This window comes from Homo sapiens, chromosome 1 (assembly GCF_000001405.40).
Source record: "Homo sapiens chromosome 1, GRCh38.p14 Primary Assembly".
Classification (NCBI taxonomy): domain Eukaryota; kingdom Metazoa; phylum Chordata; class Mammalia; order Primates; family Hominidae; genus Homo; species Homo sapiens.
In genome coordinates, this window is record NC_000001.11 from 90,347,736 (window position 1) to 90,364,113 (window position 16,378).

At 42.7% G+C, this 16,378-nt stretch overlaps 1 annotated feature.

The window, feature by feature from the left end:
* Nucleotides 10,955-11,054: an enhancer, noted in NCBI's record as "active region_1301". NCBI's record gives its function as "activates an Ori minimal core promoter by ATAC-STARR-seq in GM12878 lymphoblastoid cells {active_cell/tissue: GM12878}" and the evidence as "EXISTENCE:reporter gene assay evidence [ECO:0000049][PMID:35858748]".

Consider the following 16,378-nt stretch of genomic DNA (forward strand, 5'->3'; position numbering starts at 1 on the left):
ACAATCTTAGGCCCTTAAGTGGCTCTAAGTCTGGTAGAGAACATTAACAACTGAGTGCACAATTCAAATTCAACATAATTGTTGCTAGCTTGGAGCAGTATGAGTACTGTGGAAGCCTGCAAAAGGGGCATAGTCTTCTGGGGACTCCAAAAGGGGGCAAGTTGGGAGGGAGGGTGAGGGTTGGAAAATTACCTATTGGGTACAATGGTCACTATTTGGAATATTTGGAATACTGGTACACTAGAAGCCCAAACCTCACAATTACACAATACATCCATGTAACAAATATGCACATGTACCCCAATAATTTAAAATAAAATAAATAATTTTTTTAAAAGATCAGATGGCAAAAAATTTTAATGAAAGGAGCTGTATCTTAGTTTTCTCAGGCTCCCATAACAAGCACCATAGACTGAGTGACTTAAACAACAGAAATTTGTTTTCTCACAGCTCTGGGGGCTGGAAGTCTGAAATCAAGACACCGGTTTATATGGTTTGGGTCTGTGTCCCCACCCAGATCTCATCTCAAATAGTAATCCCCCTGTGTTGAGGGAGGGGCCTGTAATTCCCACATGTGAGGGAAGGGAGTGGATTGAATCACAGGGGCAGTTTCTCCCAATTCTGTTCTTGTGATAGTGAGTGAGTTCTCTTGAGATCTGATGGTTTTATAAGTGTTTGGCAGTTACTCCTTCATATACTCTCTCTCTCCTGCATAGCAGAATGAGACCCCTTGTGAAGAAAGGGTCTGCTTCCCCTTCCACCATGATTGTAAGTTTTCTGAGGCCTCCCCAGCCATGTGGAACCCTGAGTCAATTAAACTTCTTTCCTTTATAAATTACTCAGTCTCAGGGAAGTCCTTTATAGCAGTATGGAAATGGACTAATATAGTAAATTGGTACCAGGAGTGGGGTACTGCTATAAAGATACTTGAAAATGTGGAAATGACTTTGGAACTGGGTAACGGGCAGAGGTTGGAACAGTTTAGAGGGGCTCAGAAGATGAGAAGATGTGGGAAAGTTTGGAGCTTCCTAGAGATTTCTTGAATGGTTTTGACCGAAGTGCTTATAGTGATGTGAACAATGAAGTCCAGGCTGAGGTGGTCTCAGATAAAGAAGATGAACTTATTAGGAACTACAGTAAAGGTCACTCATGCTTTGGTTTAGCAAAGTGACTGGCATTTTGACCGTGCCCTAAATATCTGTGGAACTTTGAACTTGAAAGAGATGATTTAAGGTATCTGGCAGAAGAAATTTCTAGGCAGCAAAGCATTCAAGATGTGACCTGGATTATTCTGAAAGCATTCAGTTTTATGCATTCAGAAAGAGATGGTTTGAAATTGGAATACATGTTTAAAAGGGAAGCAGAGCATAAAAGTTTGGAAAACTTGCAGCCTGATGACGCAATAGAAAAGAAAACCCCATTTTCTAAGCAGCAATTCAAGCCAGCTGCAGAAATTTGTGTAAGTGACAAGGAACCTAATGTTAATTGCCAAGGCAATGGGGAAAATGTCTCCAGGACATGTCAGGGATCTTGGCCACAGCCCCTCCCATCACAGGCCTGGAGGTCTAGGAGGGAAAATGGTTTCATGGGTCAGGCCCAGGGTTCTGGCTACTCTGTGCAGACTCAAGACATGGCACTTTGTGTCCCAGCCACTTCAGCTCCAATTGTGGCTAAAAGGGGTCAAGGTACAGCTCAGGCCATTGCTTCAGAGGTGCAAGCCCCAACCTTGACAGCTTCCATGTGGTGTTAGGCCTGCGGGTACACAGAAGTCAAGAATTGAGGTTTGGGAACCTCTGCCTAGATTTCAGAGGATGTATAGAAATGTCTGGATGTCCAGGCAGACGTTTGCTGCAGGGGTGGTGCCCTTATGGAGAACCTCTGCTAGAGCAGTGCAGAAGGGAAACATGGGGTTGGAGCCCCCGTGCAGAGTCCCCATTGGGGCACTGCCTAGTGGAGCTGTGAGGAGAGGGCCACCATCCTCCAGACCCCAGCAGGGTAGATCCACCGACGGCTTGCACTGTGCATTTGGAGAAGCCACAGACACTCAATGCCAGCCTGTGAAAGCAGATGGGAAGGGGGTTATACCCTGCAAAGCCACAGGGGCAGGGCTGCCCAAGACTGTGGGAGCCAACCTGTTGTATCAGCATGACCTGGATGTGAGACATGGAGTCAAAGGAGATTATTTAGGAGCTTTAACATATAATGACTGCCCTGTTGGATTTTGGGCTTGTATGGGTCCTGTAGCCCCTTTGTTTTGGCCAATTCCTCCCATTTGGAATGGGAGCATTTACCCAATGCCTGTACCTCCATTGTATCTAGGAAGTAACTAACTTGCTTTTTATTCTACAGGCTTATATGCAGAAGAGACTTGCCTTGTCTTAGATGAGACTTTGGACTGTGGACTTTTGAGTTAATGCTGGAATGAGTTAAGATTTTGGAGGACTGTTGGAAAGGCATGATTGGCTTTGAAATGTGAAAAGACATGAGATTTGGGAGGGGCCAGGGCAGAATGATATGGTTTGGCTCAGTATCCCCACCCAAATCTCATCTCAAATTGTAATCCTGTGTGGAGGAAGGGAGGTGATTGGATCATGGGGGTGGTTCCCCCCATGCTGTTTTCGTGATAGTGACTTCTCACAAGGTATGGTTTTAGAAGTGTTTGACAGTTTCTCCTTCACAAGCCCACTCTCTCCTGCCACATTGTGAAGAAGATGCCTGCTTCCCCTTCCACCATGATTGTAAGTTTCCTGAGGCCTCCCCAGCCATGAGGAATTGTGAGTCAGTTAAACCTCCTTTGTTTATAAATTACCACGTTAAGGTATCTTTATAGCAGTGAGACTAATACAGACGGTTTAGGATAACATCTAATAATCATAATATAATAGAATCACAGGGACAAAGGAGAAGAATAATGAAGGTTAAATGTGTATTGAGTATTTACTATGTGCTAAACCTTGTTATAAGCCATTTACATATATTATATCATTTAATCCTTACAAGAATCATATAAGGCAGGTTATATTAATAACTTTAGGTTATAAAAAACAGAAGCTGAGGTAGAAAATTTCAGAGGCTAACAAAACAAAGTTATATGTCTCACTTTAAAAAATCTACTGTGGGTCTAAGGGACTCTCAGGGGCAACTGTCTTACATGCAGTGATTTAGCAATGAGGTTGGCATAGCCATCAACATCTTGGAGTGATACTGTATGGGACAAAGGGCTTCCTTGATTAATAAGTGGAGAGAGGGTCTCATATCAACAATGAAGTGTTTTGAACCAGAAGATACATGTTATTTTTGCTCTCAGAACTAGTCACACGAGCCTGCCCAAATGCAAGGGGATTGGAAAGCACAATTCTCCACATGCCCAGGACAGAAGCAGCTCTAATGCACACTAATTTTGTCTGACTCATCAAGGGCACTTGCTTCGTAAGTGGTGGGCCAGGATTGAAACATGGCAGTGTCTTGCCAGAGCCAAGAGTACCTGAGTTAATTGATTCCAGTCCCCTCATTTTATAGGTAGGGGCATTCAGCTGGCTTGCCCAAGGTCAGAAAGTCAGAGTTGATCCTTCTCAAGTTCTGCTAGCATCATCACTGGTGCTCTTAACAACTTCCCTGGGTACTTGGAATAAGTAGTATAATGCCATTTTCCAGAGAGTGACACTGAGCATCATGGTACCCCAGCCACTTCCCATTCCAAGATCGCTACAACAGATGACAGTCAGTCAGCTCAGCTCACTCCCCATTCCCTGCTCCTTTAAGGCCTTGAGCTCTTGAAAAATGAGCATACGCCCAGAGAAGCAACCAAGAAGGAAGTTCCTTCAGCTGGTACTAAAGAGAGAATGTCTCTGGTGCTATTAGACCCTGCTCAGCCCCTGTGGTCTCTACTGGTAAAGCAGGTAATCTTTCTTTTCCATGCATTCACCCACCCACCCCACCCATATGAGGTCTCAGGCTGTCCTTTGGGGCTAATTTTCTTCTTCAAGGTTGTACATGATCTCCTCTGTAATACTATTTCATGTAGTTAACAATGTTGTGAGTGAAAATGGGGAAAGAGCAGAAAAAAGGAAGCACACACTCATTTGCCTCAATCTAGTGCTCTTTCCCTCATCAAAAGAAGCACCCTACTTATTAAAGCAGGTATCCTGGAACCACAAATTTTACCTAACAGGCTTCTTTCGCGCCATTGAGAGTGGCTAACTGAAGAGCCTCTGCATTAATTGCATACCCCAAAATGAAGAGGCACAACCATTGCTAAAAATCTGTTCAAGGTTGCAGCTTCCAGGTGTGCAGACTGTGCACCTGTGCATTCTCTGGCTCTAGAGAGTTGCCATGAAGGTTGACTGGCATTGTAGATTTGTATATTTATTTATTTATTTATATATTTTTTACTGGCAGCAAAGGGTTTTGAGTGGTGGGTACATTTTTCAAAATTGCTCATTTGGCTGGCAGCAGGACTGAACATATTCATATTCAGGGCTGTTAATAATTCCACTACAAATAATTTCCAGTGTTTATCATGTTACTGTGTGCCAGGGCCTATGCAAGAGGCTTCCCATACTTTATTGTGTTCCACACAATGTGAGATAGGTATATCCCCATTTTACAGCTGAAGAAACTGAGGCTTAAGGGAACCAGGTACACAGCTAGTAGTGTGTACCTGGCTCCCTTAAGAATATAATGACTGAGTAGGAGTTTGCATGTAATAGCCCTGCCTCTGAAGAGAACATCTCAGCCACTCTGCTATGTTACTAGTGCCTCTCTCACCAGCTGACAAGCCTCTCACTCATCCCTGCACTAGGCCTTAAATCTGAAACGCAGACCTGGGCCCCAATCCCTGCTGCTAGCCCAAATTTTCTACTACAGATGCCAAATATCTGTTCAGGTCCTTGTGACTAGGTCAGAGATAATGCATTATTGCATACTGCCCTGTTGCTGAGTCCCTCGGAGCTGTCAGCATCCCAGGAAATGTTTAGCAGGGGGTGGGAAGAAAGGAACGGAAAAAAGCACAGTGTGGATGTGTGTTGCCAGTTATTTAAAATAAGACAATTTTCTTCAACTGTAAAAACATACTTAAGTTTAAATACCTATGCATCACTTTAACAAATTTGGTAACAGTCAATTGTCACTACTTGTTCCATTTGTGCTGTATTAAATGTAGCTTGTTTCAGACGTGTCTGGTTGACTAGCTGTGGGTTACGTTAGCAGCTGCCTCTCTCTCTTACTCTTGTAATCATAAATTCTGGAAATAGACAAAAGTAGTTAAGTTTGTGCAACCTGAATGCTGCTACCCTGGGAAGACTAAAAATAAACACCACCTGATTTCCTGGACCCTTTTTGGGGGATGGTATAGGTTTGGCCCTTTGTGACCTATAGAAGGCCTATAGGTGCAGAGGGGAGTTTATCAATGAATCCGTGGCGCTGCTATGTCATAGGTCAGGAGAGTGGCCTAACTGCAGGCCATAGTGACACCCGTGCAATGGGAGCCAGTTGGGAAGATGAATGGGGGAACACATGGCAAAGACCATGCAGAAGTCAAGAAGGAAGTGGCAAACCCAAAGCAGACAGTTCATCTCCTATTGTAACCAGAGGGGTGTCAATGAGAAGGAAGGACGAGCTTCAAAACAATTATGCAGTGTTCATTCTACAGCAATTATTCCACTTGGGGGTTAATTGTTGTAGTATGAACCCAGACACTGTCTAATTAGGAATACGCCTGTATTCATGAAAAATTACCCAGCTAATTGGCCTGGTGTATATATAGCTCTAATGACTGGGCAGTAAGAAAAAATGGTGATAGAAAAAGTTCTTCCAAATCTGGAGCGTTTCAAAAAAAAGGCAAAGCATGTCAGAGTTACAAGAGATTTCAAGGATCATTTGGGCCATGGGATCATTTTGCAAAAGAGGTACAAGGTTTGGAAGGGATTTGGTTCAGGCTCACATAAGGGCAGCACAGAGCCAGCACTAGAATGTGGTTCTCTTCCATCTCTTGTCTACTCTTGATTGATACCCACACTGTCTGATCATCAGGATCCAAATAACTGGAAGCTAGAAGCCAGGTGCTGACTATGAGAAGGGTTCAGAGGAGGAAGAATGGTTGCATGTTGGTATACCACCCACAGCGTCCATTTGATTACAAATTTTCTGAAATAAATGCAAATGAAAAGTGGCCCCAAGTCTTTAAGCAAACGTTGATTGAGCCTCCATCACATGCTAGGCACTAAGCTAGGTGCTAGGGACTCAAATATAAACAAGACGTGGTCCCTACTCTCATCTTCAGAGACAAGGTTTACACTGGAAGCCTCTAGGGCAAATGGCTTTTATGATATATAGTGAAAAGGGACAGATCACTTAGACTGTCTTCAAAGGAGAACATAATTCTTCTGTTCATATGTCCTCTACTACTTAGGGTCTTTAGCAAAATCCTTTATAAGGCAAAAAACGTGCCTGTGTATCCACCTGTAGAATTTAGAGATAGTTTAAATACAGGAAGAATAGCTTCTGCTATAGAGAAAGCCAACACATTTCCTTATAGTTACAAAATGTGTTCGGTAATATCTTCCCATTATATGTGTGTTTTATTTCAGCTTGCCTGAATGGAGAGCAAACAGCCTCAGAGGTGTCATAGGTTCTTTTAAGTCCCTTGACCATTTGGGGACCAGCTACTCTTTATTGGAAGGAAGATATTTAAGAGAATTCTTTGTTTTTTTTCCAAGGAAACTAAATAGTTGTAAAGGGACTTTTCTCCTAGGAATTAAATCTTACATAGCAACTGCATACGAATTAAAAGCAGAGTCAAAATTATGTGTCTGCTGGGAGATGGAGTAAGGTGAGTCTAGGGGTAGTGCATACAGTGAAAGGTGAGAGCTGATTAACTTACAAAAAGCTAATCACTCAGTATCATAAACAACACATGCCAAAAGGTAGTCCTCTAAAGCTGGTTTATGTGCATATCCATTACACGTTTATTCCTTCAACTAACGTTTGTTGAGTGCTTCAATGTGCCAAGCCTTGTGCTAGATGCAGAGTAAAGTGCAGAAAATAAAACAGATGCAATCCCTGGCTTCATGAAATGCACAGCCTAGTGGGGAGATAACTATGAAGCAGGCTCACAGAACAGTCAGCCTTGGCTAAGTTACAACGCAGTAACAATTTCCAAATCCTAGAGAGTTACTACAACAAAGATTTATTCCTTGCTCATGTTGGGTCTATCACAGCTCTGCCTGTCACTCTCTCCCTTTTGGACCAGGGCTAAAGGAGCAGCCCCATACAATGGCTTTAGAATTTTGTTTCTCAGAGCACATTTCCTTGCCCAAAGCAAGTCATGTGACCAAACCAGATGTCAAGGGGGTGGGGAAGTGTAATGGCCCCCAACAGAGATGGACCTGGTAGGAAAGCACAGCAAATATTTCTGAACATGGAATATGAATATATCAAAACTTACAAATAATAATTTATGTTAATAGGTTGTAAGAACAGTCACGGGGAAAGGAATAGAGGGCTATGACCAAGAATAACAATGGAGAGCGATTTCCGCTGCTGTTACTGGAGGTGGCAGGTCTGGAAAGGTTTTTCTGAGGAGGTAACATCTCAGCTCAAATCTAAAAGATGAACAGATGTTATCCAGTGGAGGGGTTGGGAGAGGAGTCTAACAGACAGGTACAGCATGTCCCAAAGCCCTGAGGTAGGGAAGAGCTTGGTATGCTTGACATGTTGGAGACAGGCAGCTCCATGCAGTGGTCTGGAGCTGGACAGCCTGGATTTAAATCCTACACCAGCCCCTTACTAGTCATGTGTCACTTACCCTCTGTGCCTCAGTTTCCTCATGTGTGAAGCAGGGATAACTGCTCTGGCCTCATAGGGTCATTGTGAGGATTAGGCATGCTTGGCTAATGACAGCTGTCATTATGAATGAAGGAAGCCCCTGGTGGCTGGGATGCGGTGAGCCACAGAGCAAAAGAGGTGAGGCTGGAGGCTGACACACAGCTCGGTCTTGAAAGGCTGGGTAGACTTGGATTTTAATCTGGAACACAGTGAGTCCTAAGCAGAGGTGGGACTTTATAAAAATCTCTTGTCATACTCTGAGGAATAAGGTATTCTCCATTTAGACAACTATCCATTGTTGAAACAAAATGAAATCCTGGAGAGAAACTGAGGAAGGAAGGAGAAAGAGAGGAAGGGGGAGAAAGAGAGAGGGAGAGAAATGAGTTTCAGACTGGGAAATATAATTGGGAGAGGGGTGAGAGATGGGAAGAGGGTGCTTTCCCCTCACCATTCTGCCCAATATTAGAAAGAAGATATTTGTTTAAATAAGCATGGGGAGAAGACAGAAAGGAGGTGAGGGCTATTCTTGGTAAGGTCTCAGCAGCCAGGCAGCATACAATGAAAGGCAGGTGACTGATTGGGTTGAGCTGCATCCTGACTCAAAGAAGGGTCCTCTGACCTCCATAAAAGTGGTGGAGGGGGGCAGCGGGAGTGCACCATGGCTCTGATGATACCAATACGGAAACGACTTTTACACACAGGGAGATTCTTATGGATAGGGGTGTAATCCTTTGGCTTCCACTAAACTAGCACATCCTCACAGAGTCCACCTCTGGTCCTCCTTTGCCTCCCCCCACCTGGGAGCAGAGGGAGTTGCTGGAACACAGGGGTGAGGGGTTGTATGAGGCTCCAGGTAGTCTTGTGATGTGATGCTTTTGGGGAGATGGCACCACTTCATCAGCTGGATGACAAAACACTGTTAATGGCATCAATAAAGAAGTGTGAATGTAATTTTCTCCTCCTTGTTATTTCCTCAGTATTTGGCATATTATTTAACAGATCAACTGGCCAGTCATGATCCCTTCTGAAGTCAAGTCTTTCTTTTTGTGCTAGAAGATTCCTAAAATGCAGTGTAGTGCAGATATAAACTCATCGGTCAGAAAAAGGCCATACATCTAGAGCACGTGAGAGATACCAAATGAAAAAGTGATTGAGTTCAGTCCAAATTCTGAAAGCTTTTGGGAATAGTTGTTACAGCCTTTGAAGTACTGGTGCTTCGGTGGAAAGAGCAGCTAGGGAGAAAATGCATAACCTTACTTCTTATACTACATTAAAATATATGTGTATGTTGAATCGGAGGAGATACAAACCTGAGAATATATGCAATCAGAAAAAAAGACAATATCTTGGAGCTTTGGAGTGACCAGATCTGGCTATGATAATAGCTACCCTTTATTCAGGAGTTACTCTGAACCAGAGTTTGGACACTTTGCTATGTTAACTCACTTAATTCTCACAACAAGCTCACATGGTAGCATTATTATCATTCCACATTATGGATGATGAAGGAGAGACATAGCTACGTTAGATAATTTACCCAGAGTCATTCAGTTGATACGCTTGGGCAATCTGGCTTCAACAACTGATCGAGTAACCATTGTGCACATGGCCTCTCTGATGATATACAGAGAGACAGAGGGGAAACTCAGATCCTGCCACTCACATTTGACTATACCCTCTAAACGCAAGAAGGCATGAAGAACCTACACATATAATCTTACAGAGGTGTGGGCATTTTCAGGAAGGAAAAGCAAAACACTCTAATCTTTGCAAAGTAGTACTGAATGAGGATTGCAGAGGTAAGCTTTTCCCCTGACATTTTTCTTGCCAAGTTACAATTTTTGACTATGGCTGTGTCTTAAGCATTGTGATAAAAATATTTTTGTTTCATTTTTAGACAGATCGAACTTATTTTTCTTACCCATTTACTGAGCCATAAATAACTGGAGGGTTGTTGATTAATTTTCAACAGGAAAAAAAAACTTGAAAAGATATGCTGATGCATCATTTCCATGTGTGCTCATTTTTAAACAACCAAGATGGAGGTTGTAATTCCCAAAGCAGGGCATTACTGCTTTGAAGTTTCAGGGTTGTCTGTTCATTAATTTCTTAGGGAGCAAGAGAAAGAAGATATTCAAACATCAGTTCTCAAAGCTTTAGGATATTTTCTCCTTTGCTGTTTTCTATGTTCTGTGTCAACCCTTTGGCTCTGGTCTCACCTACTACAATGTTTTCATTTTTTAAAAATTCAAGATACTTGAAGCTAATTTAGGGGTAAATTTATTGGAAAGGATTATATTTGACAATTTTATGAGTATTATTAAAAACAAGGATGCATGTATAATCAAATACCCTGAAAAACAAGCCCATCCAAAACAACTTTCCAAAAATGCCAGGAAAAGCAGTATAAAAATGGACCTGGTAAAAACATACTGTGATTCATGTTGTCATGTATAATTTCACTCAGGCCACCATTGGGTCTCATTTGTTTGTATCTTCCTTTTACTTTTGAGGTCCATCCCCTCCTCCCTACTTGTGATTGACTTGCTGGAGACCAGAGCAATTAGCCAGCCTAATTTGACAGTTATTTTTAAAATTGGTTCTTAAATTATGAGACGGTTCTGACTAGGCATGTGGTTACTTCACAAGGGAATTTCCCCCAACTGTTCACTTGTCTATCTGGATTCCTGCTGTGAAACGAGTTGTTGTTATGTTGAGTTTGGCCAGATGATAAGTGAGATTTGTTTTGTGTGAAGAAAACTGCTGCTAGATTTGGATCATCCTAAGCCAATCTATGAGTTAAATGCACAAATTACCATGTAATTTTGTTCCAATATGAATACAACTGGCAAATTCACTCCTATGTTCCCAATTATGAAGGGAGGTGAGTGGACAGTGCCAAATATTATAATTAATTCTTCAAACCAAACAAGTGCTTCTAAATTTTTGTCCCTAATCTATATATTCATTCATAGCCACAATATTTATTGAGTTCTGGTAATGTAGCAGACACAGTGACAGATGCTGCGTGTTCAAGAATGAGTAAGATGTGCAACTCCCTTCCAGGGTCTCAGAGTCTGTGTGCAGTAAGTGGGGGGTGTGGCGTACCAAGAAGAAAGGAACTAATACCCCATAGTCACCTCCCTTGTGCCAGGTGCTCTGCTAGGAGCTTAAAACATACTCTTATTTAATCTTTCTCACAACCCTGCCCAATGGGTTTTGCCTCCCCATTTTATCCAGACTCAGGGGGGTTAAATAACTTGCCCAAGAGCATAGAAGTGTAACCAGGATTTGAACCCAGCCCACTAGCTTTTCACTATTTTATGATCCCTTTAGATAGGAAGTCACACTTTCTTCTAGTAATTTCAAAACTTTTCAAGATTATAATCTCATTTGTTTCTCATAATATCTTCGTGAGGTTGGCAGATAAGGCATTATAATTTGCATCTGACTTCTGATGAAGCTAGGCCTTGGAGAGGCTGAGCACCAACTTCAAGGCCCCATGGCCAGTCAGAGGTAGAGCTGGAGCTAAAACGAAGACCTCATAACTATCGGACCAGGCTTTCCTTAGCACACAGATCTGGATATTATGCTGAGCTGAGCCTGGATTTGAGTTCCCAGAAAGCAAAAATAAAAACACACAACCCTGAATTGAGAAATATCCACAGGGAGTAAGAGTTAACAGCACTCTTGTTAGCTAAAAGCTACCGTTTGTAAGTGATATTCGGAATTGCAGTGGCATTTCTAGTGTGCATTACACATTTACTCAGCTGAAAAGGAGGTGAGGTGGTGGATGATCAGAGGTCAGGGAGAAGGACTAAGAACGAAAAGCACTGGGCAGCATGCTGTATGCCCTGTGTAAATGACTTGGCTTCCTTGCCCCTCTGTGTGACCTTGAACAAGTCCCTTAACTTCCTTACTCATCTCAGTCAGAAAATGTGTTTTTGAGGGGTGCGTGTATGTGTGTGTGCACACACATGCGTGCGCATGTGTGCATGTCAGGGCGCAGGGAGATGTCACCATACATCAAACGCTGTGGCTGGAGTGAGCTCCTTAGGGAAAATGTATCGTAGTCTCCTTGCCCCCACTGGAAAGATTTTCTCACAGCGCGCGAAAGGTGCCACTTTTTAATAACATCATTGGAATATCAGCTTTTTGCAAGATACAGTGGGACAAACTGCAGTGTGCCACCGTGTGACATGATAAAAGAAGAGACTCCTGTGTGAGCTCCCCGGCAAAACCCCTTCAGGGAAGAGGTCCTGGTCCATTTGGGGTCATATGAGCAGGGTGTAGGTAAGCTGGCGAAAGAGTGGAGCTAGGAAGTTTGCTGTATCACAGAACACACGCACAGACCTCTTGCGGTATGAAATGCCTTCACTCTCCATACCTTGGGGTGAGTTTTTACTCTTTCTCTTTGAATTATCCCAGTGGTCATCAGAAAGGCAGGGGGAGCACGCCTGTGAACTGCTGAAGCCAGCCGGCTCCTTTCCTCGCTCAGAGCGCTGCCACTGCAATTCAAACAGAGAGGCAGCCCAAAATGGAGGAGGGCAAGGGCTTTGTTTACTTTTCCTCCTGCCTTTGGGCAACAGCAGTATCTGACATCTGAGCTGCTAGGTATGCATTGTCACCGAGGCGATCATCCACAGTTGCAGCCCACATGCCAGATACCCACACAGGCCCAGACTGTGGGGATATGAGCTGGGGAGGAAGAATGGAGAGGCAGCAGCATCTCTAGGGCATCTGCCCCTGATGGCCAAGGAAAATCCCATATTCTTGTGGGAAGTGTGGAATGGGAGGTACATAGCATGAAACCTGATAGAGAAGGCATGCTTTCAAGCTGTCGCCTGGAGGGGAAGGGCCGGAGGATTGTGCTATTGTCTCTTCACACTGGACTTTCAGGGTTGGTTTGGCTCAGGTGATGGGAGGGTGAGCGACCCTTCGTTACCTTCATCAGTAACTGGCCTCCCCAAGGAGGCAGACATAAGAGAAGGAGTCTTCTAATGGAGGAGGACCACTCTGACAATCAGGAACTCTTTGCCTCCCAGAACCCTAGAGCTCATACCAGCTCTTCCACTTCATTTATAGGAATTCTGGCTCTGCCACTACGGGATCTTGAACAATTCCATTAAATTCTCTGAGCCCCTGTTTCCTCATTGTAAGATAAGTACACTTCTCCTACCCAGTTGTAGTGAAACGATCACTTGAGATGATGTAGGTGACAATACCTGACAAACTCTAAAACTACGCAAAAGTAAAGGATTCTTATGTTTTTAATATGCGAGGAACCGGAAGGGAATGGAGATCCTATGAACCAGTTATTATTCCTGCTCCCGGCTGAAGCCCCAGGAGGCATTTCTTGGCCTGCGCTGAAATCCTTGGGGCCCTGTATAGATCTCAGCACTTCCCAGAGCTTCCACTTCTCTGTCTACTGGATGGTGAGTAAATGCCTTAGAATCACAGGCAATCCAACTTGCAAGGGACTTTAAAGGTCATCTGAAACAAGTCCTCCTTGAAGCTTCAGTTCTCTCAACAAGTCAAAAAACATGTATATTCTTTACTCTCCACAGACTGTGGCATGGTGTTTGGCAACAGGCCAGCCATTCAATACTATTCCTTGAATGAATGAATGAATGAATGAATGATTAAATGAATGAATAAATGAAATAGGGTAAAGAGTTATGCTGTCCAGAAATTCTCTACACATACTCATACAGCATGTGGCTATTAGCTGTGCCAAAACATGATACTTTCAACAATAATCATGATGATACTCATTTCAAGCATTGAGTGCCTGTCATGTTCTAGGAACCACGCTAAGAGCTGTATGTAGAGATCTCATCTAATCCTTGTCAGATCCCATTGAATTAAGCCCTTTTATCATCCTCTGCATCTGAAGAAACTGAGGCAGAGTGAAGTTAAGTAGTTAATTCAAAGATCACTCAGCTGATAAGTAGAGAAACCAATATTTAAATCTAACTGGCTCTTATGCTCTTTCTACAGGTCTTCTTTCATCAAAACTTACCTTTTACAATGATCCTCCGTTAGAAAAGGACATTAGAATTCCTTTTCTTTCTTGGTTCCTGGTTTATTTGGGTAAACTACAGCCTATGCTTTGTTGCCTGGAGAGCAAAGGGGAACGAGAGGAGAGGACTCTATTTAACCAACCTCCAAGTGAGTTCTTGAGAATTTCAGCTGAGCTGATCCTTGGCCATGTAGTCAATTATGAATTTGACAGAAATGTCTAAATTGACACAGCTTTGATTGCACAGACAAGAAAAAGTGTGATAATTCAGCAAAAGTCCATGATTGTGAGGAAGAAATGGAAATTGGGATTTGAAGGAATTCATTCTCTTCAACATCACGCTTTCAGAGGCCTCCCCTAACCGCCTGTATAAAATAGCACACTATCGATTTGCTCTACTTTATTTTTACTATGCCTTATTTTTCTCCACAGCACTTGTCACCATCTAAGAGGAGATACATTCTTTGGTTTGTATACTATCTATTGTTCTCCTCGAGAAGGTAGACTTAGTGAGAGTTGGACCTCTGTTTTGGTTGCTACTACATCCGTAACACCTAGAATGGTGTCTGGCCCATAGGAGACACTCTGGAAATGCCTGTTGAATGAATGTACTTAATTGTTTTTGAAGAAATATATAAACACCTAGAGTAGCAACTCTGTTCTTTATGAATTGGATTGTGAAATGATTGAAACAAAGGTTCTTTTGGCTCTTTGCATTTCCTGGGTGCCGGATGATTAGGCTTTCATCCGGCACCCAGGAAACCTTCAAAACCAACTTCAGTCTAAGTTTTCTCACACTCTGGTTTGTCTCAACATGTGCAGTGCCCCATGATACCCACAACTTGACATTTAGATTATTTCTTGCAAATGGTTTAGAGCAGCATCACACACCATGGGGTGACATGACTTCTCCCAGAGTAGATGGAATATGGGAGAAACAGTCAGCAAATGCTCTTTTGATCAGTTTCATGCTTCTCACTCCTTGAGATGTACCACCACGTGCCCTGGAATCAGTCACACAAAGGTTTGCTTCCCATTTGTAGGCATAAGGCCAGCCAAAGACAGGACCAGTGTTCACACATGCCTCCCCTGGAAGACACTGCTTTAGGCTAAGTTAAGGGTTACACATGCTTTGCCTGAAAAGCTGAAAACCAGGGTTTTACTCTCCATGGTGACATTCTCCCCAGAAATGAACTGGTGATGTTCATTAATCTGAAGCCTCATTAATGAGATACAAATATAAAATATAGCTTCTCTACCAGTAACTGTCTTGTACCACTTGGACCTAATTACAGAGAATCTTGTTAAAAACAACTTGAAACCCTTAGAAAGCTAAATAGTCAGATAGTCAATTAAATATATTGCTAAGGTGTAATGGAAAAAGTGATGTGTTTCCTCCCAATGTTGAACTAATCTCACATTCCTATGCTTTGCTCACTACTGGCAACACCTTTTCTAAAAATCAGTGTATGTCTCTTCCCCTTCTGTTGATCAAATACCATGTATAGAATCATTTTCTCTCAAATAGAACACAAAAAAACAAATTGTGAAAGTATTATTTTCCATATTTCTCCCTTCATTATCTTACCTTTTCTCCTCCAACATTGCATAGATGGCACCTTCCCTTTTTAATTGAAACTGATCGATTGCAGCATTTGCAGAAATCGACATATCCTTTTGGATTAACTTTTTCCCCCATCACCCTCACCTAAGATCTCTTAATTTCTGAGCTCTTTAAGAAGCAGACCATTACAAAATAAAAAGGCCAATGTCTTTGGTCTGGATCAAAATTTTTGTCCTAAGAAAATAGGTTATTTTGCCCAAAATCAATCACTCAAGTACTTTCAGAGTGCCCAGCACCAAGCTAGACGCTGCTGAGATGCAGAGGAAGGTATGAAGTGTGGCCCCTGCTTTCAGCCTATTGTAAAGACTATTAGTCACCCTTCCAGAGCTAAGCTGTGCAGGACTAATAATGCCATTAGTTAAAAGCTCATGGAACCATGGAAGTGTGACCCAGAACAGACTTAAAATAATAAGGACACTAAAAAAAAAATAAAGTAGTTCTTGTAAATTGTAGTTAACAGTTGCCTGGTGCATACTTAAAAACACCGATAAGCAAAAATTTTTAAAGCCTCAGTGAGGTTGTGTGGTTTTCATCTTCCCCATCAGCTCGGATATACAGGGATCCCACAGAGGGTTGCAGAAGGAGCAGCCACAGAAATAAACAGGAGCCTTTGCTATCACATGGCAAGCAAGTGTCGCATCTCCTGAGCATCCCAGGTATCTGGGGCAGCCCCCTGACAATGGATGAAACGATATCACATCCAGCCAGAAAACAACCCAGCAGAAACAGTGAGATGACACATAAACCCACAAGCTTGGCTCATAATGTGGAGCAGCAATACATGAGCATACTGTACTTCTGCAGCCACTCTAGAGAAAGAAAAAGAGTAAAATGTGTGAGAAAACACCATTAAATTACTCACTATTAGCCCCTAAAGTGTGCTTCCAACCTATGTGGACACACATACA